The sequence below is a fragment of the Homo sapiens genome, chromosome 20 (genome assembly GCF_000001405.40).
Source record: "Homo sapiens chromosome 20, GRCh38.p14 Primary Assembly".
Taxonomy (NCBI): domain Eukaryota; kingdom Metazoa; phylum Chordata; class Mammalia; order Primates; family Hominidae; genus Homo; species Homo sapiens.
In genome coordinates, this window is record NC_000020.11 from 50,731,165 (window position 1) to 50,754,342 (window position 23,178).

General features: G+C 41.6%; 1 protein-coding gene across 1 annotated transcript, besides 2 other annotated features; it reads left to right on the forward strand.

Moving 5' to 3' along the window:
* Positions 69-858: a silencer, noted in NCBI's record as "silent region_13025". NCBI's record gives its function as "represses an Ori minimal core promoter by ATAC-STARR-seq in GM12878 lymphoblastoid cells {active_cell/tissue: GM12878}" and the evidence as "EXISTENCE:reporter gene assay evidence [ECO:0000049][PMID:35858748]".
* On the forward strand, positions 416-22,577 carry PARD6B (par-6 family cell polarity regulator beta). The gene is made up of 3 exons (NM_032521.3): positions 416-688; positions 6,693-6,915; positions 18,495-22,577. The coding sequence occupies exons 1-3, from the start codon at positions 623-625 to the stop codon at positions 19,322-19,324; spliced, it is 1,119 nt and encodes a 372-aa protein (NP_115910.1). The 5' UTR covers positions 416-622; the 3' UTR covers positions 19,325-22,577.
* Positions 6,158-6,833: an enhancer, noted in NCBI's record as "NANOG-H3K27ac hESC enhancer chr20:49353859-49354534 (GRCh37/hg19 assembly coordinates)". NCBI's record gives its function as "activates a minimal SCP1, AML or CMV promoter by ChIP-STARR-seq in primed H9 embryonic stem cells {active_cell/tissue: H9 hESC(primed)}" and the evidence as "EXISTENCE:reporter gene assay evidence [ECO:0000049][PMID:30033119]".
* Positions 22,578-23,178: the final 601 nt, after the last annotated feature.

A 23,178-nucleotide genomic window follows, 5' to 3' on the forward strand; every position in this document is an offset into this window, starting at 1 on the left:
TGGCTCTCCGGCCTGAAGCGGGGCGGAGGGCCATGGCTTCAGGTGATCCCGCCCCTCCCTCGTAGCGCAGGACCAATCGTGCGGTGGTAGGCGGGGTTTTGAGGAGGCAGCCCGCCCACGCACCGCGCGAGGCGTGTATCGATTGGTTGGCGCCGCGGGCGCAGGTGCGCGCTTTCTATTGGGTGTGGGCGGAACGCGAGGGATTGCGGCATCTTCGGGGGCTGCAGGTGAGCGCGCGCACGCGCCGCGGCTGTGGTCCGCTCGGGTGCGCGCGCGCGGGCTCGCGGGGGAGGCGGCAGAGGGAGAGGTTGCGGCGCTTGTGGCCTCCGCTCCGCCCCCTCCTCTCCTCCAGCGCTGTCGCCGTCGCCGCCGGGGCCCGGAGGGAGGGAGCTGCTTCCCCGCCTGCCGCGCCACCAGTCCGACCCTCGGTCCCGCCGTGTGAGCAGCTGGTGGAGTGGAGCTCAGCGCGGACGCCGGAGCTGCGGCCGCCCCCTCTGCAGGTGCCTGTGAGGAGGCGCCCGGGCCGCAACCGCTTTCCGAGATCCCCAGTCGCGCACTCGCTCCCCGCGCTCCTGAGGGGCCGCCCGGCCGGAGGAGGCCGTCGCGGGGCTCGGCGTTCAGCATGAACCGCAGCCACCGGCACGGGGCGGGCAGCGGCTGCCTGGGCACTATGGAGGTGAAGAGCAAGGTGCGCGGGGCCCGGGCTGGGCGGAGCGGCGGGCCTGGGGGGCCGGGGCCTGGGAGAGGCCGGGCCAGGCTCGGAGCGCCGGGGGAGGCGACGGGCTGAGCTGCCCCGGGGTCTGGACGGTGCGGTCGGGAGACTGTGGGTAATAAACTTGCCGAGGAGGGGGTGGCGGGGGTCAGGGGGCGCTAGTGTCCGCCCCTGGCCCGGGCAGGAAGAAGACCTAGTCCAGCATTTAATCTCATTCCGTAAATCTCATTCCCGTGTTCACGGACGGGAGTAGGGGCCAAGGTATATCCAAGGATGGCGCACACTGAGTGAAATGCGAGGCTGCTCAAAAGGTGTAGGAGAATCCTGCCTGCTGGGCTGTGAGTAAAGGGCCCTGGACCACCCCGTTGTTCCCACTTTCTGTGGTTAAGGGGCGCATCGAGTGGCGAAGGAGAGAGCCCAGTGAACTAAACAGCCCTTTAAAAGTTCGCTTTGCTTCCTGCTGGCGCTCTTTCTAGCACTAACTTTGGTATGCATTTAATCTGTAAAATTAGTACTATCACCTTACGTTGGAGTAGCACTTTACAGTTTGACTCTAGATGCTCTTTTCATTCCATCCTGCTACCTACTCACATCAAGTGCTTTTCCCCTTGACCAACGGTATGCCAATCTGCTGATAATTACTTCGGTATTCACTGAATTTCTAAATCTCAAGGCTCAGTGAGCAGGGTAGTCTGTAGGGAGGGATTAGTTAGGGAATGCCTTCCAAAGGGGGTTTTGAGCTGGAATTTGAAGGTGATCGGCAGCCAAGGGAACACTTTCAGCAAGCGTTTCTTGAGTTGAAGAGTTAAAAGGAGCTTAGATAATCTAGCCCAATTCTCTGAGAAGACTGAGGCTTAGAAAGGTTATGACTTCCTCAAGCTGTTTTTTTGCAAAGCCTTCATGCCTTTTTAATAACTTCTAGACATTGCAGAATACAAAACAGGACACTGGCTGGGCCCTGAGAACATTTAAAATAGAATTGAGAAGGCCAAAACACAGAAAAGGAGAAAATTGAAAGTATATCAATTTCAAAAAAAAAAAGTAATGGAGCATCATAGATGGTAAGACTACTAAGGAGTATGTAAAATCAAGGAGTGATTTGAGTGAGGTACAGTGGAGTAAGGAAAGCTTCCTAGAGCCTCTAGGTAGAATAGTTTTATTGTCTAGGGTTGATAAGCAAAGTTCTGTAAGTTTCTGTAACTGAGAATCACATCGAGAAAATCGACATTCGTTTGTAACATCATTAAAAAATGTGATTTGAGTCTGGGCGCGGTGGCTCACGCCTGTAACCCCAGCACTTTGGGAGGCCGAGGCGGGTGGATCACCTGAGGTCAGGAGTGCCAGACCAGCCTGGCCAACATGATGAAACCCCATCTCTACTAAAAATACAAAAAATTTTTAGCCGGCCGTGGTGGCACATGCCTGTAATCCCAGCTACTTGAGAGGCTGAGGCAGGAGAATCGCTTGAATCCGGGAGGTGGAGGTTGCAGTGAGCCAAGTTTGCACCATTGCACTCCAGCCTGGGCAACAAGAGCAAAACTCCATCTCAAAAAACAAAACAAAACAAAAACAAAAACGGCTTGGCACTTACATGAGGATTGGCACTAGTTTCAGAATTAGTAAGAAAAGACGTGTAGTTACAGCAATTTAAGGAATGTGCATGTCCATGTGTCCTCTGTGCACAGCATAGCAAATTGAAGTGACTTGCTTGAGCTATAGCGTTAAGATGACCCAAAATACATAGCAGAACTTTTCCTTTAGCGGTATGGTGGCAGTAGAGGTTCCATGCCCAGTGGTTGAACCTTCTTATGGCATTTTTGTTATAAGTTTAGTTTGGATTTGTGGGAGTTGAGGTTATGGAAAGAAAAACACTTGTGATATTGCATAATCTTAAAATTTTAAGTTTATAGCCCTAATCTTGGTAGCAAGTCTTTAATTTTTTTCCACAGAAAAAAATGAGTAGGAATTCTAAGTATACTGATAAATACAATCAAATAGTAATTTATCTCTAGTACTAAGAAACCTTGAGTGCTTTAAAACTGGAATTTCAGGCTTTTTGCCTTTCTCTTGTCAACTGATTTGTGAATCTTTCACTTACTTCTGTCTAAACTACATGTTGTATATTTGAACTGCCATACTGCACTTTCAGCTAACTGTGTCTTTTAAATAGAATCATACACTGATTCTAGGAACATGTGCTGAATGAAGTCGGTCCCACTATTCTAGCTGTTGACAAATAGGCAAGATATAGGTAGTGAGTGTTTCTAGTATGTCTATGACACCTTATATGTTTCAAATATATATTGCTGATACATTTATTTTCAGTAGATTGAAACATTTGTCACCTTAACCATTTAAAAAATATTTGGAAGGGTTTTTGAAACAGTATTTTCTTTGACATTGCTTTAGTGATACCACAGCTTTTTACAAAACTGATTGCTAAGAGTTTATAACCAAAACTAGGTAGTGTGCCGGTCCTTTTTTTTTTGAGACAGGATCTTGCTCTGTCACCCGGGCTGGAGTACAATGGCACGATCACGGCTCACTGCAGCCTCAACCTCCTGAGCTCAAGCGATTCTCCGATTTCAGCCTCCTGAGTAGCAAGACTACAGGCGTGCACCACTACACCCAGCTTATTTATTTATTTATTTATTTATTTATTTTGTAGAGATGGGGTCTCTCCATGTTGCCCAGTCTGATCTTGAACACCTGAGCTCTAGTGATCCGCCCGTCTCTACCTCTCAAAGTACTGGGACTACAGGCGTGAGCCACTGCACCTAGCTGGTCCATTTTTCTCTTACTATTTTCAATTTTTTTTTATCTTTTTAGAGACAGGGTTTTGCCATGTTGGTCATGTTGGTCTCTAACTCCTGAGCTCAAGTGATATTCCCACCTAGGCCTCCCAAAGTGTTTGGATTATAGGCATTAGCCACCACACTGGGTTCCGGTCCATTTTTAGGATCTCTTTTTCTTCATATAAACAGTAATGTTGGCCAGGCATGGTGGCTCACACCTGTAATCCTAGCACTTTGGGAGGGCAAGGTGGGCGGATCACCTGAGGTCAGGAGTTCAAGACCAGCCTGGCCAACACGGTGAAACCCTGTATCTACTAAAAATATAAAAATTAGTGGGGCGTGATGGCATATGCCTGTAATCCCAGCTACTCCGGAGGCTGATGCAGGAGAATTGCTTGAACCTGGGAGGCGGAGGTTGCAGTGAGCCGAGATTGCGCCACTGCACTTCAGAGCCTGGGTGACAGAGGGAGACTCTGTCTCAAAAAAATAAAAAAATGCAATAAAGCAGTAGTGTCAACATTATTATCTTCACACGTGGAAGGGAAAAATAGTAATGATAAAAGAATGGAGAATGTAAATATACCTATAGTTCAATTTGTGGTACCAGCTAGTATGTGACTTTTCTTTGGTAACTGTTTTATCTTCCTAATTGTATCTCTAGTGTTGGGAAGATTCTTAATCAATAATCTTGATGATGTCCTTTAATAACCCTGGAACAGTCTTTGAGTCATAAAATTTCCTAATTATTATTCATAGGCAAATAGACTATGAAAATTAAGTTTGCATTTCTAGAATGTACCAACAGACACTGGGGGAAGGGAGTCCATACACATTCTGGATGGCTAGGGCAAACTAGGCTATGAAACAGTTGTAAATGGTTCACAAGTGAATAATTGCTGATTGAATCTTAATTTTGTCTCTTAGTGTTTTTGTTCATGTAAAAAGTTCCCTTAATCCTATTGTTGTGTTGCAAGAAGCATAACAATTTCTCTTGGGTTTTTTTTTCCCATGCCAATATTGGCAAAAGTGCAAATATACCATGAAGCCATACAATTTTTTATTGTTTTTATCATAACAGTTAAGCAAGAGAAAATATTGAGCGAAGAAATTTCATCCAAAAGCTTTAACAAAAACATTGAAGCCCTAAAATGTTAAATGATCAGATGTTATTCCCATTCATACATCAGGGGAAGTGATAAACCCTGTGGATGAATCAGCAAGCACTAGCAACTTCATGTTGTGATACCAGAATAAAGAAAATGGAGGAGAAACTGTGACTTTTGATAACATCATGAGACTAACTGATATGAAGGGTGTTCCCTGAGTTTTTATTTACTTTGAAATGTGAAGGTGTGACTAAACTTTTTGAGAGCCTTAGGTATGAGTCACCTTATTTTCTTGACAGATGTTAGTGTTTATGTTTCAGGAATGTGTTTTGGGAACTATTTTAATTTTTGTTAGAGGTAAGAGGTGTTTTTAGTGAGTTTTGATGTTAAAACCACTGAGGAGTATGGGTGTAAGCAGAGCAGGTGAACTTTAGATAGAGCAAAACCAGTGAATCCAGATGTCCCATGGGACCTTTGGGAAAATGAAGTGACATATTTGTAAACTCAAATTATTATGGTAGGGGCTTTCTCTACATGATGCTTAAGGCTGTACCAACAGTATTTCTCTTTTCCTTTTTTCTCTGGGACATAATATTTTTACATTAGTATTTCTTGCTAGTAATAGATAGGTGGAAGAAATATGAGTTCAGTGGTTAAACACATTAGGCAAACGTTCGTTTAAATATTTTTAAAAACCAACATAGGGCTTAAATGAGCCTTTAAAGTGCTGGTCTCCGCAGTGATTCCCAAGAGCATAATTATGTAGCGTTTCTCAAACTTACATGACTGGGACACTTTTTGAGGAAGGCAGATTAACTTTTCTTAGGTTTCCACGTTTGAGGAAATGCCATGTTATTCCCACAGTGTTATAAATCCTGTTTATCATGGACTAGATGAAGCCAGTCCTTAGTGTTTTGGTTTTTTTTTTTTTTTTCTTTTTTGAGACGGAGTCTTGCTCTGTTGCCCAGGCTGGAGTACAGTGGCATGATCTCGACTCACTGCAACCTCTGCCTCCCAGATTCAAGAGAGTCTCCTGCCTCAGCCTCCTGAGTAGTTGGGACTACAGGCATGTGCCACCACACCTGGCTAATTTTTGTATTTTTAGTAGAGACGGGTTTTGCCATGTTGGCTAGGCTGGTTTTGAACTCCTGACCTTGTGATCCTCCCGCCTCAGCCTCTCAAAGTGCTGGGATTACAGATGTGAGCCATCGCGCCTGGCCTCAGTTCTTAGTGTTGAATAAGAGTCACTTTTAATTATTTGACATTGGGAAAACAGAGGTGTAGGGAAACAGACTTCAGAATCAGAACTGTGAAGGTAAGTATTGGGCATGATGGAGGCTGTCTTCCTCCCCATTCCGCCCCATTTGTGTGATCTCTTAATACCTCCCTGAAGTAATTATTCTCTTTACCCACTAATTGGTGAGCTTCTGGAGCAGGCTCGAGGCTTTCAATCTCTAGGGCCTAGCACTGTGCCAAACACATAAACACTTTGTGCGTTAATTGGATAGTTATAGGACATACATTTGATGTATTACTGAAGCTTATTTTTTTCTGCATTAACATAGGGAAGATCATACCTTAACGCCACGTAGCTCACAGTTCTTTTTGTATATTTTGCTGTTGATTCTTACCACATACCATGAAATCCTAGTTCCATTTATGGGGGAGGACACTTAAATGCTTTCCTTTGGTCAAAATAAGGACTTGGACAAGTCTTTGGTACCCCATGATGCACCTGAGGAGAGCATTGCCGTCAGAGTCTGGGCTCCAGACAGGGTTTGAGCTGAGTCACTATGCAGAACAGTCCGCAGTAAGGCCTAGGTACCCCAGGGATAGATAGAGTTGAGCCTGCCTCTCTTGAAAGGAATGCTCTTCAGAGACACAGCAGTCAGGAGGCACATTCTTGTGCCTTTCTTAGGCTTTTTAAAATCCCTGATAGTAAGGTTCTTCACAATAGACAATCTTTCCTTAATTAAAAATACTTGCTCTGCTCGTTAATTTTTCTATGGCATGCATTTTCAAATTGGGTCCTTTTACTTTTTTTTTTTTTTTTAAGTAATATGTTTGTTACGTTTATAGTTTGGAGCTGAATTTCGTCGGTTTTCGCTGGAAAGATCAAAACCTGGAAAATTTGAGGAGTTTTATGGATTACTACAACATGTTCATAAGATCCCCAATGTTGACGTTTTGGTAGGCTATGCAGACATCCATGGAGACTTACTACCTATAAATAATGATGATAATTATCACAAAGCTGTTTCAACGGCCAATCCACTGCTTAGGATATTTATACAAAAGAAGGGTAAGTATCACTGTTTAGAAAAATTGTGTTAGAAATAGAAATAGTGTATTTTCCCCACTGAAAGGATACCCAGACTTTGCCACAAACTTAGTGAATAAACATTTTGTGTGAATCTTCTTATGTTAACTAACATGTGGGTTAAAACATTTGTGATATTGTTGGTTTAATTAATATCTTTATGCTTCACTAAGTGTACTTTAGAAAATTTATATTTCTAGTTACTTTTGTGTTAACCTCTTTGGTTTTATTTTTCCTTAAGTAGAAATTGGGAATTTATTGAATATTGGGAATTTATTGAATCTTCACTTTATCAAATGGATTATTCTCCACTCAGAAAAATGTGAAAAGAGTGTGACTTTGGAATCCAAAGCATTCCTGTTTTTTGGTGGCAACCAACTTTCAAAGGCTGTATTTACCAGTTAATAAATACCAGAAACAAAGCCATTTAATCTTCCTGAGTCTCAATGTCTGCACCTATAGAAAGATTATAATATTTTGTAGAATTACTATGAGGATTAAATGAGCTAAGTGCAGTGCCCTGGCTTATAGTAAGCACCCAGTAAATACTTTCTTTCTTTTACTTTTAGGATACTTTTTAAAGAAATTGTATAAAACTAGTTAATTATCTGGAAAATGAGGTGGGAAGTTACTATTGTGGAAGGATGTAAACACTGATATTAATTAGTCTTCCAAAAAAATTGAAATCACTATTTGGCAATAACTTTCTTTCTTTCTTTTTTTGTAAAGACTGGGTCTTACTATGTTGCCTGGTCTCCGGTGATCCTCCAGTCCCTGCCTCTCAAAGTGCTGGGATTATAGGCATGAGCCACCATGCTCAGCCAAGAATTTTCAAATGTATTTTGAGTCCTAAAACTTTTTTTTTTTAATCTCGTAGCCTTTGTGTGTGTATGTATGTGTGTCTGCAGATAGGCAGGGTAGGGCTTATTATGGTATGTACCATTTTTTCCTTTCTCAATTGTAAATGAAGTGGTTTGGGAAGCCAGCATGAGAGCATCAAGCCTGGTATTGGGATAAATTAAAGACTTACGGTATTTATAAGCCAACCCAGAAAGTAGCTTGAGAGCGGCCAGGCTTGGTGGCTCACGTGTGTAATCCCAGCACTTTGGGAGGTGGAGGCGGGCGGATCATCTGAGGTCAGAAGTTCATGACTAGCATGGCTAACATGGTGAAACCCCATCTCTACTAAAAATACAAAAATTAGCTGGGCATGGTGGCACATGTCTGTAATCCCAGCTATTCAGGAGGCTGAGGCAGGAGAATCAGCCAGGAGGTGGAGGTTGCAGTGAGCCGAGATCGTACCACTGCACTCCAGCCTGGGCAACAGAGCAAGACTCCTCAAAAAAATTTTTTTGAAAAGAAAGTAGCTTGAGAGAATGGGTGGGGATTATCTTTGAAGGTGAAAACTATTTCTAATCAGTTGATAAGCATTAGACCACTCCCAGGGCTCTGGAATTCCACTGATTATGTATCTTTGCTTTCCTGGGTTTGGAGGAACTAAAGTCCACCAACAAAATAAACCTCCAAGGATAACCTCTGCCTATATCACTTGACTATTTTACAAAATACTTTCACACACAAATTAATGTTCCCAAAGTTTCCTGAGATGGATCTCAAAGGTAATTAACAGGAATGCGATATAATGAGAGTATGACCTTAGGAAGATTCAGTTGGCTGTTCAGGATGAATTGGAGTGGGCAGCAGTCTTACAGTAGAGAGCCAGGAGCAGGCGGTAAAGAAGTGAGGAGACTGGCCTAGAAGTAGAGGGGAAGGGTGGGGGGAGGGGAGAAGGCAGTGGCGGGAAGGTAGGAGGGGAAATACTTGGGAGTCATTGCACTCACTGTGGCTGCTTTGCAGTGAAGGAGAGTCCAGCAGAGCATATCTTGATGGTTTGAGTCTGACAGCTGGGACAGTGTCATGAACAAGCAGAGTAGATTGATTTGGAAAAGAAAATTATGAATTTTGTCTTAGGACAAATAATCTTAACCAGTCATTCAGAAGATTAGAAATGGTAGACAAAAGTTCAGGGTAGAAATCCAAAAACTAGTTAGATTTGCAAGCTTTTTGAAAAGTGATAGTTAAAATTTTGGGAGTAGACATAAAGGCTATCTGAGATGAAGACCATGGATAGAACCTTGGAAAGCTATATATAGAGTGCTGGAAAAGGAGGAAGAATTTAAATAATTATGGTTGAATAATAGGCCTTTCTTGTTAGCAATTGTAATTTTCTTTAAAAAGTTAGTTGCTGTTTGGATGTGCATTCAAATATAGAGTGGGTTTTTAAAGTATTGCCATGTGACAGAATTTTGTTGGATTATCCCCTTTGGTAGAAAGATTATGACAGTTGAGTTATACCACCACATGTTTTGTTAATGGAATTATACTCTTGCATGATTATGGAATTAATCCTAACATCTTTTAAGGGTAGTTATCTTTTATTTCCTTTCTAAGTTTTTATTTATTGGTGGTATAATTTTTATTGAGACCTTTGATGGTTTTTATTGTTGTCATAGGAATTACAACTTAGAAATATGTTTCTATGTGCAAATGTTTTCTATTTATTAATGGTAAAATGTCCAATATAATTGATAGCCCTTAGAATTTGATTTAGAAATAGGCAATTCAACAGAAATATTTTAGATTTTAAAAATATAAATTTAATACAAATATGACTTTAGCAAAAATGAAAGTAGGTAGTCAGTTCATTCCTGCTTAAAACCCTCTGATGATTTCCCATTGCAACCAGAATAAAATCCCTTCTGATTTGGACTTCCCAACCTCATCTTCCCTCATTCTCTCACTCCCTCATCACAGTCAGCCACACTGGCTTCCTTCCTGTTCCTCAGACTTGATGAGCTTGTTTCTTTTTTTTTTTTTTTTTGAGATGGAGTCTTGCTCTGTCACCCAGGCTGGAGTGCAGTGGTGCAATCTCGGCTCACTGCAACCTCTGCTTCCCAGGTTCAAGTGATTGTCCTGCCTCAGCCTCCTGAGTAGCTGAGACTACAGGTGCATGCCACCATGCCTGGCTAATTTTTGTATTTTTAGTAGAGATGGGGTGTCACCATGTTGGCCAGGCTGGTCTCGAACTCCTGACCTCAGGTGATCCACCCGTCTTGGCCTCGAAGTGTTCTGGGATTACAGGTGTGAGCCACTGCACCCAGCCGTTAGCTTGTTTCTGTTTCTGTGCTCTTATGCTTGGTTATTCTTAAGGACACTTCACCCTCGGTTCTTCCCACGTCTGCCTCCTCCTGCTTAGCTCAGATAAGTTTGTCAGAGGAGTCTCTTCTGACTACCCTAACTAAAGCCCTCCACCTTCCCACCTTTACCACATCATCCTCTGAAGACCTGGAAATATCTTATTTAAGAATATGTTAACTTGTTTCCTGTCTGTCTGGTTTACCATCAGGTCGCAGCATCTAAATCTGGCAGACTTACTTAGTGTACTATAATGCATGCACTCTTTTTTTTGTGGAGTGGGGACGGAGTCTAGCTCTGTCCCCCAGGCTGGAGTGCAGTGGCGCGATCTCGGCTCACTGCAAGCTCCACACCATTCTCCTGCCTCAGCCTCTGAGTAGCTGGGACTACAGGAGCCCGCCAACACACCCGGCTAATTTTTTTTTTTGTATTGTTAGTAGAGACGGGATTTCACTGTGTTAGCCAGGATGGTCTCGATCTCCTGACTTCGTGATCCGCCCGTCTCGGCCTCCCAAAGTGCTGGGATTACAGGCGTGAGCCACCGCGCCCGGCCGCACTCTGTCTTTTAAGCAAAGTTGAGCAGATGCTTAACTAGAAATCTGATTTTATGTAAACCTTAATGAACATTTAATTCAAGGAACTAATATAAAGTATGACATTAAGTATAGTTACATTTTACTGCTTGATTACAGCACATTTTCTGTTTGCTTTTTGATTTCAGTTAGGCATCAGTAAGGCAGAAGTTACACTTAATATGTACTGGTGTTTTGTTTTGTTTTGTTTTAAGTCTTGCTCTGTCACCCAGGCTGGAATGCAGGGGCGTGACCTCCACTCACTGCAACCTCCGCCTCCCAGGTTCTTGTGCCTCAGCTTCCAGAGTGGCTGGGACTACAGATGCGTGCCACCACGCCCAGCTAATTTTTGTATTTTTAGTAGAGACAGGGTTTTGCCATGTTGGCCAGACTGTTCTCAAACTCCTGACCTCAAGTGATCCGCCCACCTCGGCCTCCCAAAGTGCTGGGTTTACAGGTGGGAGCCGCCGTGCCTGGCCCCAAGTGATTTATTTTATTTTATTTTATTTTATTTTTTTTGAGACAGAGTCTTACTCTGTTGCCCAGGCTAGAGTGCAGTGGTGTGATCTCGGCTCACTGCAGCCTCTACCTCCTGGGCTCAAGCGATTCTCCTGCCTCAGTCTCCCAAGTAGCTGGGACTACAAGCGTGTGCTACCATGCCCGGCTAATTTTTGTGTTTTCAGTAGAGACACGGTTTCACGACGTTAGCCAGGCTGGTCTCAAACTCCTGACCTCAGGTGATCCACCCTCCTCAGCCTCTCATAGTGCTGGGATTACAGGTGTGAGCCACTGCGCCTGGCCCCCAAGTGATTTTTGAAAAGCAAATTGCAAAACCATTTTAAAATTTAAAACTATGTGATCTTTTAACATCTGATACTCTACTAAAATTTCTTTAAAGTGAAAGCTTACAATTCAATGTGTAAACTACTTTATAGTCTGAAGTTTAAGATAGTGTTGTTGGATATCTTGAAAAATTTTTATAACAATTTATTGTTAGAAGAAAAACCCCATACTCTATTCCTAGAGCAGTTATCATGGGAGCAAAAACAAAGCACAAGAAACCTGGTATCTTAAAAGTTATTTTCATGCAGAGGATCCCAATCCCCCATTCCCTGTTAAGAGTATTAGAGTTTATCCTAATTGATTCGGGAGATGGGGAAGAGAAGGTACAGAATAGACTTTCTGCTCTCATTGTTGAGGTTATTGCTGTGCACTAAAAATTTTTAAAAAAATATTTAAAGCTTGCGCCTTTTAAAAATACTCAGGTCATTCCTGTCAGTTTGGAATTCAGCCAGGGAAATGTGTATTTTTAAAAGCTTCCCAGCCAGTCCTGATAATCAGCCAGGTGGAGGATCTGTTGATGTGCTACAGAACAGACCCCTCTCCAGATCTAGTCAGAATCTCTACATCCAGACTTCTTGCTATAACACCGTCTGTTTTTGATTGACACCAGACACATATGTTTACCTCTTCGATTTATTCTCGTTTTATTAGGAACACTAGAAAGGCTTTGCTTTAAACTTTGTCTCTCATAGGGCATGCCCTTACACAGATGTGACTTTGTGGCCCAGATGCTGGTAACTGGGCATCTAAATCATCTCTTAGATTTTGTGCATTGGACATTATTTTGTAGGTGTCTTTTAAGGTTACATTTTTATGAATCAGGGTTTAAAGTTGTCTAAGGAATATACATTTTAGTAGTAAATTGTAAATTATAGTTTTAACAAAAGATATGGCCCAGAAATGAAAAAAATAAATTACAGCCTGTAATCCCAGCATTTTTGGTGGCCGAGGCGGGCGAATCACAAGATCAGGAGATCGAGACCATCCTGGCTAGCATGGTGAAACCGTGTCTCTACTAAAAATACAAAAAAATTAGCCGGGCTTGGTGGTGGGCGCCTGTAGTCCCAGCTACTCGGAAGGCTGAGGCAGGAGAATGGCATGAACCCAGGAGGCGGAGCTTGCAGTGAGCCTAGATCGCGCCACTGCACTCCAGCCTGGGCGACAGAGCGAGACTCCGTCTCAAAAAAAAAAAAAAAAAGAAATTGTGGAGTAACATCTCAGTATGTGACACCAGTTACTCACAACAGAAACGTGGGTGTCACCTTTGACACATACCTATTTTTTAGTCAGTCACCAAGCCTATTAAAACTGTGTTCTAGTTATTTTTCAGATTTGTCTCCCCATTTCCATGTCCTCTGCTCCAGGCCAGGTGCCATCCAAATTTACTGAAGTAGCTTCTTTTTTTTTTTTTTTTTTTTTTTTCTGAGAAGCAGTCTCGCTCTTGTTGCCCAGGCTGGAGTGCAATGGCGTGATCTCGTCTCACGGCAACCTCCGCCTCCTGGGTTCAAGTGAGTCTCCTGCCTCATCCTCCCGAGTAGGTGGGATTACAGGCATGCGCCACCATGCCTGGCTAATTGTGTATTTTTAGTAGAGATGGGGTTTCTCCATGTTGGTCAGGCTGCTTGCGAACTCCCGACCTCTGGTAATCCGCCCACCTCGGCCTGCCAAAGTGCTGGGATTACAAGTGTGACCCACTGCACTGCGCTGGCTGCAGTAGCTTCTTGTCCTCCCCCTCCACGTCCTTCTCCAGCCTGCAGCCGGAGTGAGCTTTGTAGAAAAACCAAATGAGTTCACTATCACTGTCTTCCCTTAAAATCCTTGATTTTCTTCCCTTTGCCCTTAGGCTAAAGTCTGTAAACTTTGGTACTTCCCAGGAGGCCCTGTTTGTCTGTTTGGCCCCTGGCTGCCTCTGACTCAGCTCCTGACTCCCTCCCTCCCTCCCTCCCTCCTGCTTTTCACCCTCTGTTCTAGCTGTATTGGATTTCTTTGTCTGGCCCTCCCTCTTCTGGATATTGTCGAGTCCTGTGCCTGGAACATTCTTCTTGCCTTCTACTATTAGCCCCTGGCTGGTTTTCCTCACAGAATCACTTCCCTGGAGAAGCCTTGCCTTACTCCTACAAGCCAGGCCAGGTCCCCTTTACATACTTCCCCAGCATGGTGTGCTTATAGCTCTCAGCACCTTTGTTATAATTTACTTAGAGTATTTGAAATTATTTGTTAGTTGCCATCTCCTCTTTTAGATTGTAAGCACCACGAAAGTAGACACCATACCTATTTTATTCACCAAATCTGTACCACAGAGCACAATTCCTGGCACATAGTCAGTGTTCGTTAAATATTTGGTGATTAATTTTTCTGTATTAGGAATGAAGGGGTCTGCAAAATTTGAATATCTAATTTGCTTTAAGTGATATTTAATCTTTTTAAAGTTGCCAGATCTGGCTGGGCGCAGTGGCTCACGCCTGTAATCCCAGCACTTTGGGAGGCCAAGGTGGGCGGATCGCCCAACGTCAGGAGTTCGCCACCAGCCTGACCAACATGGTGAAACCCTGTCTCTAATACAAAAATTAGCCGGGCATGGTGGTGCATGCTTGTAATCCCAGCTACTCGGGAGGCTGAGGAAGGAGAATCGCTTGAACCCAGGAGGTGGAGGTTGCAGTGAGCCGAGATCGTGTCATTGCACTCTAGAGCGAAACTCCGTCTCAAAAAAAAAAAAAAAAGTTGCCAGATCTATCTCATTTAACCATTTTATATTAGAGCAAGAGTTGGCAAACTAAGGCCTGTTGGCTGCTTTTGCATATAAAATTTTCTTGGAACAGGGTCTCACCATTGCCCAGATTGGAGTGCAGTGGTGCCATCTTAGCGTACTTCAGCTTCGACCTCTCAGGCTCAAGTGATCCTCCCACTTCAGCCTCCCAAGTAGCTTGGACTACAGGCACAAACAAACCACCATGCCCAGCTAATTTTTAAAATTATTTTTGTAGAGACAGGGTCCTGCTATGTTACCCAGGCTGGTCTTAAACTACTAAGCTGAAGCAGTCCTCTCACCTCGCCCTTCCAAAGTGCTGGGATTACAGGCATGAGCCATCATGCCTGGCCACATAATATTTTATGGATTGTCTGTGGCTGCTTTTACAAGAGTGATTATATAGCCTGTAATACCTAGACATTTACTGTCTGACTCTTGACAGAAAACGGTTGTCAACCCCTGGATTAGAACATTTTAAAACATTATTTCATTATTTGATTTCTTCCTCTGATCTTCAAGTGGGGCATAATCTTGAACTTTGTTGATGGCTGTACTATAATGGTTGCTGTTTTGTTACTGTATGGGGATACTGATGGAGCTTATGTAGAAGTTTTTTTTTTTTTCTAGATTTGCTTTTTACTCACTGTGAAGCTTTTATGTCTTACATCTGCCTGCCACCCACAAATGGATCCTTACCCTTTGCTCTGAATGTGTGGTTTATGACCCTCTATGAGCAAAGGAATGAGATTACTAGGCTTTTCAGAATTAATGTTTAAAGAGTAAGAGGTTCAGAGGGAAGCCCTGCAGGATAAGTGAAGAACAGCCACTATTTGTGTGTAAGAAAGTAAGACATCCAGTTTGACTATTTGGAGGCCTTCTAGGTGGATCCTTGTCTGTTCAGTTAGCCGAGATCATTGGCTGAAGAAAAGGCTTGGGATAAATGCGGTGCTGCTGTATCAGCCCATATCATGTACTGTTGCATAAGTGAATTTATACAAGTGGACAGTTGCTATGATCAAGTTTTCAAACTTTCCATCTCATTCTGAGTTTAATGCTCTGATAGTGTTCAGGTAGAAAGTCAACTCCAATTCCTTGTGGACATTCACCTTTACACTTTAACACCCTGAACCCTGGCTTTCTGCCAAAATATTTTCTTTCCCAGTGGCTGGAAACTGATTAGCTAGATGGGAGAACAAAGGTGGCTTTGTACTGGGGCATATTGCTTTTGAGAATTTAGCAGAGAGCATTCAAATGGAGTCTGGATGTGATGCCAAATTATGCAGATTTGGAGTTTATTTTGGTTAGGTTTCCCATGAGTAGGTATGTAGGCAACGTAATACTGTTCTCAGTTTATATGGTCTGGAATTTCCCTTATAAATGTTATATAGGCTTTCCTTATTGATTGTTTTAAAACACAAATATGTATGATTTTGAGAAAACACATTACCAGAAGACTATTCTTGATAGGTTTTTTTGCCAAAAAGATTGTTGTACCAATGGATTTATATCCAAAGCCATATTATAAATACATTTCTGTCTCTGTAAGAGCCCAATGCAAATACTTATAAATGATTACAAGTGTCCCCAAGGGGAAAAAAATGCCAAAAAAATAAGATACCCGTAACCTTATATATTTATCTGAAACTAGGTTTTGAAGAGTGTTCACGCAGCATCAGAAAAGAATACTAAAGCTCCCCATACTCTGACATAATTGATACTTGGCATTCATTATTGTGACTTGGAAGATACTAGCCTCGTAAGAAAACCTGGGCTCTAGTTCTTTCTGTGTAACTTACGTTGTACCCTTAATTTATTGGTTATAAAGTGAAGATGATAATAGTTTAGCAATGAGGGGGTTTAGGATTAAACAAGAGAATATGAGTTGAAGCGCTATACAAACGCAAGATGGTGAGATTGGTGTTTTCTGTGGCAGCAGCTGAGACTAGGATTTTCAACTATTTTGTGGAGGAGGAGGGAAGCCATTTATTTTTTGTTGTTGTCTTTTCTTTTCTTTTTCTTTTTTTCTTTCTTTCTTTTTTTTTTTTTTTTTTTTTTTGCCTAGCCACTGGAAAACCAGGGAGAGGCATTATTGAAGTTGTTGTGTTTTTTTTTTAATTCATGTAAATTTCACTTTTTAGTTTATCCTCATTGTAGTTATTTTTGAAAATACTATTTTAACTTTTGTTTCTGCTGTTAGTTTCATTTTCTGTTTTACCTCTCATTCTCTGATGAAATGTTTTGTTTATAGACTATCTTCCTTCAGCCATATAATTTAACCATATCTGGTGTTAGGTGTTCTGTTTTCCCTTTTAGTTTATTATTTAATTAGGCGGCAGTATTTAAAGATCGCAAGATTTTGCCTAAAAACAAGACTTTCTGGCATGAAGAAAATCTGCGAGGAACTGAGAAGCAGCTATGCCATCTAAATGAGGCAGGAGCTCTCCAGTTTGCCAGAGTCCTACTACTTCCTATTGTCTGTGTCACCACCACTGAGGACAAAATACCATTGAACTTTATGCATAGTTTTTCACACAGTAAAGAAAAAAGTTAAAACTCCACCTTTGCCTCTTTCAAAATGAAAATGAGAGATCAAGAATTCCTGCTGGGCGAGGTGGCTCACACCTGTAATCCCAGCACTTTGGGAAGCTGAGGCAGGTGGATCACCTGAGGTCAAGAGTTCCATCAAGACCAGCCTGGCCAACATAGTGAAACCGCATCTCTACTGAAAATACAAAAATTATCTGGGCATAGTGGCGCATGCCTGTAATCCCAAGCCACTTGGGAGGCTAAGGCAGGAGAATCGCTTGAACCTGGGAGGCGGGGGTGGCAGTGAGCTGAGATCATGCCTCTGCACTCCAGCCAGGACGACAGAGCGAGACTCCGTCTCAAACAATAGCAACAGAAAACTGAGGGAGAGTGTTTATTTGCAGAATACCAAAATTCCGAAGTGTTTGTTTGATATGCATCAGCATCAATTACATTATCTGCCCACTCAGCCTCTGATATTGGTATATGATTTTACTCTCTGATTTACCTTGAGAATCAAATATCCCACTTCAAGTATTTGAGTTGAATATGATAAACATGCAAATTGCAGGCGTGTTTTTGTTTTGTTACCGAGGCTGGAGTGCAGTGATCATAGTGCGCTGCAGACCTGAATCCTGGAGTGAAGCCATCCTCCCATCTCAGCCTCCCAAGTAGCCGGGACTCCAGGCAGACGCTACCTACCACACCTGGCTAATTTTTTTTTACTTTTCATAAAGACAGGGTCTCACGCTGTTGCCCAGGCTGGGCTCAAGTGATCCACTCACCATGGCCTCCCAAAAAAGCACTGGGATTATAGACGTGAGGCACCACGCCCAACCACATTACAAGTTTTTTAAACAAGTGAAGGAAAAATGTATTTTAAGTAACTGGTTTAAAATGATGTTTTAAGGCCGGACACAGTAGCTCTCACCTGTACTCCTAGCACATTGAGAGGCTGAGGCGGGAGGATCTCCTGAGGCCAGGAGTTCAAAACCAGCCTGGGCAACATAGCAAGACCCTATTCAAAAAAAAGTAAAAATACATATATATTTAATGATGTTTAAGAATATGTAAGATCTGGCCAGGTGCGGTGGCTCACGCCTATAATTCCAGCACTTTGGGAGGCCGAGGTGGGTGGATCATGAGGTCAGGAAATCGAGACCATCCTGGCTAACACGGTGAAACCCCATCTGTACTAAAAATACAAAAAGTTAGCCAGGCCTGGTGGCACACACCTGTAGTCCCAGCTACTCGGGAGGGTGAGGCAGGAGAATTGCTTGAACCCGGGAGGCGGAGGTTGCAGTGAGCCGAGGTCACGCCACTGCACTCCAGCCTGGTCGACAGAGCGAGACTCCATCTCAAAAAAAAAAAAAATATGTAAGATCTATCATAGTTTCATTTGCCATATTTAATGTTTAAAAGTGAATGAGCTCTATCAAATTTAACTTCAACATTGGTTTATTTTGTGATGTGTATTTGAGATGGCCACCTAGTGGTTTTTTCTGGTATGGCATTTTACTACTGTACTAGATTATGATCTGATTAGAATAAGCTTATTAGCTAGTTTGTTTATATACCAAATATATTTTGAGTTATCCTTTCTGTACAGATTCAGCTGCAAGTGAATAGATATTTTTACAGCATTTCTATAATTATTTTGTTTTATTTTTAAACAGAAGAAGCAGACTACAGTGCCTTTGGTACAGACACGCTAATAAAGAAGAAGAATGTTTTAACCAACGTATTGCGTCCTGACAACCATAGAAAAAAGCCACATATAGTCATTAGTATGCCCCAAGACTTTAGACCTGTGTCTTCTATTATAGACGTGGATATTCTCCCAGAAACGCATCGTAGGGTACGTCTTTACAAATACGGCACGGAGAAACCCCTAGGATTCTACATCCGGGATGGCTCCAGTGTCAGGGTAACACCACATGGCTTAGAAAAGGTTCCAGGGATCTTTATATCCAGGCTTGTCCCAGGAGGTCTGGCTCAAAGTACAGGACTATTAGCTGTTAATGATGAAGTTTTAGAAGTTAATGGCATAGAAGTTTCAGGGAAGAGCCTTGATCAAGTAACAGACATGATGATTGCAAATAGCCGTAACCTCATCATAACAGTGAGACCGGCAAACCAGAGGAATAATGTTGTGAGGAACAGTCGGACTTCTGGCAGTTCCGGTCAGTCTACTGATAACAGCCTTCTTGGCTACCCACAGCAGATTGAACCAAGCTTTGAGCCAGAGGATGAAGACAGCGAAGAAGATGACATTATCATTGAAGACAATGGAGTGCCACAGCAGATTCCAAAAGCTGTTCCTAATACTGAGAGCCTGGAGTCATTAACACAGATAGAGCTAAGCTTTGAGTCTGGACAGAATGGCTTTATTCCCTCTAATGAAGTGAGCTTAGCAGCCATAGCAAGCAGCTCAAACACGGAATTTGAAACACATGCTCCAGATCAAAAACTCTTAGAAGAAGATGGAACAATCATAACATTATGAAACCGTGGTTTGAATGTTTTCAGAGTGAGGATGCCATGAGGACTTGTACATTTGGCTAGTTTAAAAGCATATATACCTCTGACCAGTGACGTGGAATAGGCATGAGACGAGTAACGTTGCAAGCTTACAATATTATTAAAGTAGTAGTTTGATAATTGTTAATATAAACTTTGGTGGATCAGAGGTGAATTTAAGTCCAAAACAAAGGGGCCTTTGCTGATGAAGTTACGTGCTTTTGCTGTTTTGTCTGTGGAGAATCAGATGTTAAAGCACATTCTTGGAACTATGTGAGAAGACTAGATCATTTCTGTTGGAAGTGGTTGCATATTTAACCTGCTGTGCAGAGCCCAGTTAATTTTTCCTTTAACTGTATTTTTAAAATTCTAATGTGAAGTCTGATTCTCTCTTGTGGTACATTGGGGACCTCAGCTCTTAAAGGTCTCATGTTCCCAATATTTTATTTTGATTTTTTTTTTTTTTTTTTTTTTTTTTTTTTTTAGTGACTGGGTCTCACTCTGTTGCCCACACTGGAATGCAGTGGCATGATCACAGCTCTCTGCAGCCTCAATCCCCTGGGCTCAAGCAGTCCTCCCACCTCAGCCTCCTGAGTAGCTGGGACCATAGGCACATACCACCACATCTGTCTACTTTTTGTATTTTTTGTAGAGACAGGGTTTCGCCATGTTGCCCAAGTTGGTCTTGAACTCCTGGGCTTAAGCAGTCCTGCCTCGGCTTCCCAAAATGCTAGGATTAGAGCCACCATGCCCAGCCTATTTTGATTTTTGTTTTTTTATGTTCCTTTCTAATAAATTGTAACAAATGATGTTCTCAAGTACATTTCCAGTTTCTTTTCTTTTCTTTCTTTTTTTTTTTTTTTTTTTTTTTGAGATGGAGTCTCGCTCTATCGCCCAGGCTGGAGTGCAGTGGCGCGATCTTGGCTCACTGCAAGCTCTACCTCCTGGGTTCACACCATTCTCCTGCCTCAGCCTCCCAAGTAGCTGGGACTACAGGCGCCTGCCACCATGCCTGGCTAATTTTTAGTAGAGACGGGGTTTCGCAGTGTTAGCCAGGAAGGTCTCAATCTCCTGACCTCCTGATCCGCCCGCCTCGGCCTCCCAAAGTGCTGGGATTACAGGCGTGAGCCACCGCGCCCAGTTGTGCATTTCTGGTTTCTAAGAATCAAACCACTTGGCTGTTTTTAGGAGTTACTTCCCATGTTATAAAGCTGAGGAAGCTTTTTTTTTTTTTTTTTGAGACAGAGTCTCTGTCACCCAGGCTGGAGTGCAGTGGTGCAATCTCAGCTCCCGGGTTCAAGCAATTCTCCTGCCTCAGCCTTCTGAGTAGCTAAGATTACAGGTGTGCGCCAACACGTCTGGCTTATTTTTTTGTATTTTTAGTAGAGATGGAGTTTCACCATGTTGGTCAGGTGGGTCTCAAACTCCTGACCTCAAGTGATCCGCCCATCTCCTCCCAAAGTGCTGGATTGCAGGCATGAGCGCCTAGCCAGGAAGCTATCTTTTCTTGAGTTATGAAACTTTGCAACAGTTGTTCAAATTGGTGTTTGTCCTTCCTATAGCTTTCATATTTTCAAATTAATTCTGTATGGCTATATAATTTATGTTTTAAAAGGCAATTCTCTTGACTTTGGAAATATGGAAGTCTCTCCTTTAACCTATTCTTGTTCCCATTCCCAGTCTCATTTGAAATCATTCCTTTTATTGTTAGTGTGTGTATTTTTGTTGGTGTGCTTTTAATGCATCCAAGTATGCATCATTTTGGATAAAAAATACATCCAAATTAAGATGTTTTAACACATAGGACAAACTTGTGCACTTTTTATGCCAAAAAAAAAAAAAATTGGGTTTTCCTTCATGGGATTTCTAGAAACACTGCCTACACTTTATGAAAACTACATAGTATTCACCTGTGACAGGTAGAGTTTATCACTATTAATTTTATGAGGCTATTTATTACTTTCCAATGCATCCACTTAGAACAAGCTAAGAGTAAGGCTGCTAACTTTAATTCCTTGCCTGATTTTATTGTACAGTGTGCACAAGCACAATGGTATGCTTGTATATAGAAACTAAAAATACTATGAAGTACATAAGTTCCCTATGGCTTATGGAGAGTTATTTATTAATTAACTTTATGGTAGGGCTAGTATGAATACCTTTTTAACAATTGTGTGCTATTACAACAATGAAGATTCAAATGACTCCGCTTTGAAGGATGTTTTCTCTATATGGTAAAATATATATGAAGAAGTCTTGATTACGTGAAGATCACTTGACTCAGAATACTTCAATGTATTTTGTTCACATTACCACTAAGCATATTATCAGTAAACTATTAACTGACTGCACATTATGTAATACGTTGTACTTTTTGTTGAATTCACCGAAGTTCTTCCATTTATATGCTATTTTTAATGGCATTCCGGCTTTAACATTCTGTGAGTCTTACAAATTTGACTCTTGAATGGCAAAATAATGTTAGTATGTAGAAGGTTAACTTTCATTTATAATATAAGTGGTGCAGGGGTTCAACATTTTAAGTAAAAATATTTTTACACACTACCTCTCTCTTTTTTTTTTTAAAGTTTTAACATCAGAACTTTTGGGGGAAAAACTACTTCAGGGCTTGACTTTTTGTACAAATTTTAACTGTAAAATACAGATTTATCTTGTACGCATTCATGGAAATGGAAATCAAAGCTGCTATTGCTTTTTATTTTAATTATCCTGTTAAGGGTATCTATCAATGGTATTTTCAAGTAGATCTCTGTTTCTTAAATTATTGGTGAAATAATTGATTACTAGATATATTGTAAAACCAATAGATCCTGGTTATACGATAAAATATCAGCTCATTGGTAGGCTGAATCAATTATTTCAAGTGCACCTTATTAACAAAAGTATCAGTGGATCCAACATAAAATTTTATAGTACTAAATGTCAAGCCTAACTGTGAATTTTGTTCTGTATCTTAAGTAAATTTATGATAATGTTCTCGAGCTATCAACAAAATATATGTACTTTTGTGAGCTATGAATTTTCTAATTAAATTTTACATGCTATAACATGATTTTTACATGAATGATACTTTGTTTATAACTATCAAATGTCAGTATTTTACTACAATTTTATTATAAAGTGTACATTATCACTAAATGAACTTCGATTTTAAAAATCAAATTAGCTTTAGTTGTATATTATTTTTTACAAATAAAGATAGACTTGTATAAAGGCTACTTTCTTGTTTGAAATTATATGAAAAGTTGCCCACAAATACCAGGTGCCCATTATATAAAATAGGTAGGGAGAAAACCCTTGAGTTTTAACAAGATCCTTGCTTCCTTAACTTTTAATTGTTAAAAGATGGACCCCAAATTGTATGTGCACTTTTTGCAACTGTGTATGACCATATGGCTATGGGCTGGATGGTAACTTTTAAAATGTGGTTAATTCTGATAGTGTGAAAGGTTATGCAAGCTATTCACCCAAAGTTATCTTTAAGATTATTTGAAACTAGTTTGTAATGTGACAGCTTATCTTCTGAAATTCAAATTCACTTAGTTATACTTAATTAATATTACCATCTATCTAGTATGGCCTATGTTGATTGAATTCAATTTATACTGAAAAACTTAAAATGTCTGAGAAAAAGGCCAGGCATGGTGGCTCATGCCTGTAATCCCAGCACTTTGGGAGTCTGAGGCAGGCGGATCATGAGGTCAGGAGTTGGAGACCAGCCTGGCCAACATAGTGAAACCCTGTCTCTACTAAAAATAAAAAAAAAATTAGCTGAGCTTGGTGGCGCACACCTGTAGTCCCAGCTACTTGGGAGGCTGA

Coding starts and splice junctions, on each gene's coding strand:
- PARD6B (NM_032521.3), top strand. CDS start 623: ATGAACCGCAGCCACCGGCACGGGGCGGGCAGCGGCTGCCTGGGCACT. Junction 689..6,692: donor CTATGGAGGTGAAGAGCAAG/GTGCGCGGGGCC, acceptor TTACGTTTATAG/TTTGGAGCTGAATTTCGTCG. Junction 6,916..18,494: donor GATATTTATACAAAAGAAGG/GTAAGTATCACT, acceptor ATTTTTAAACAG/AAGAAGCAGACTACAGTGCC.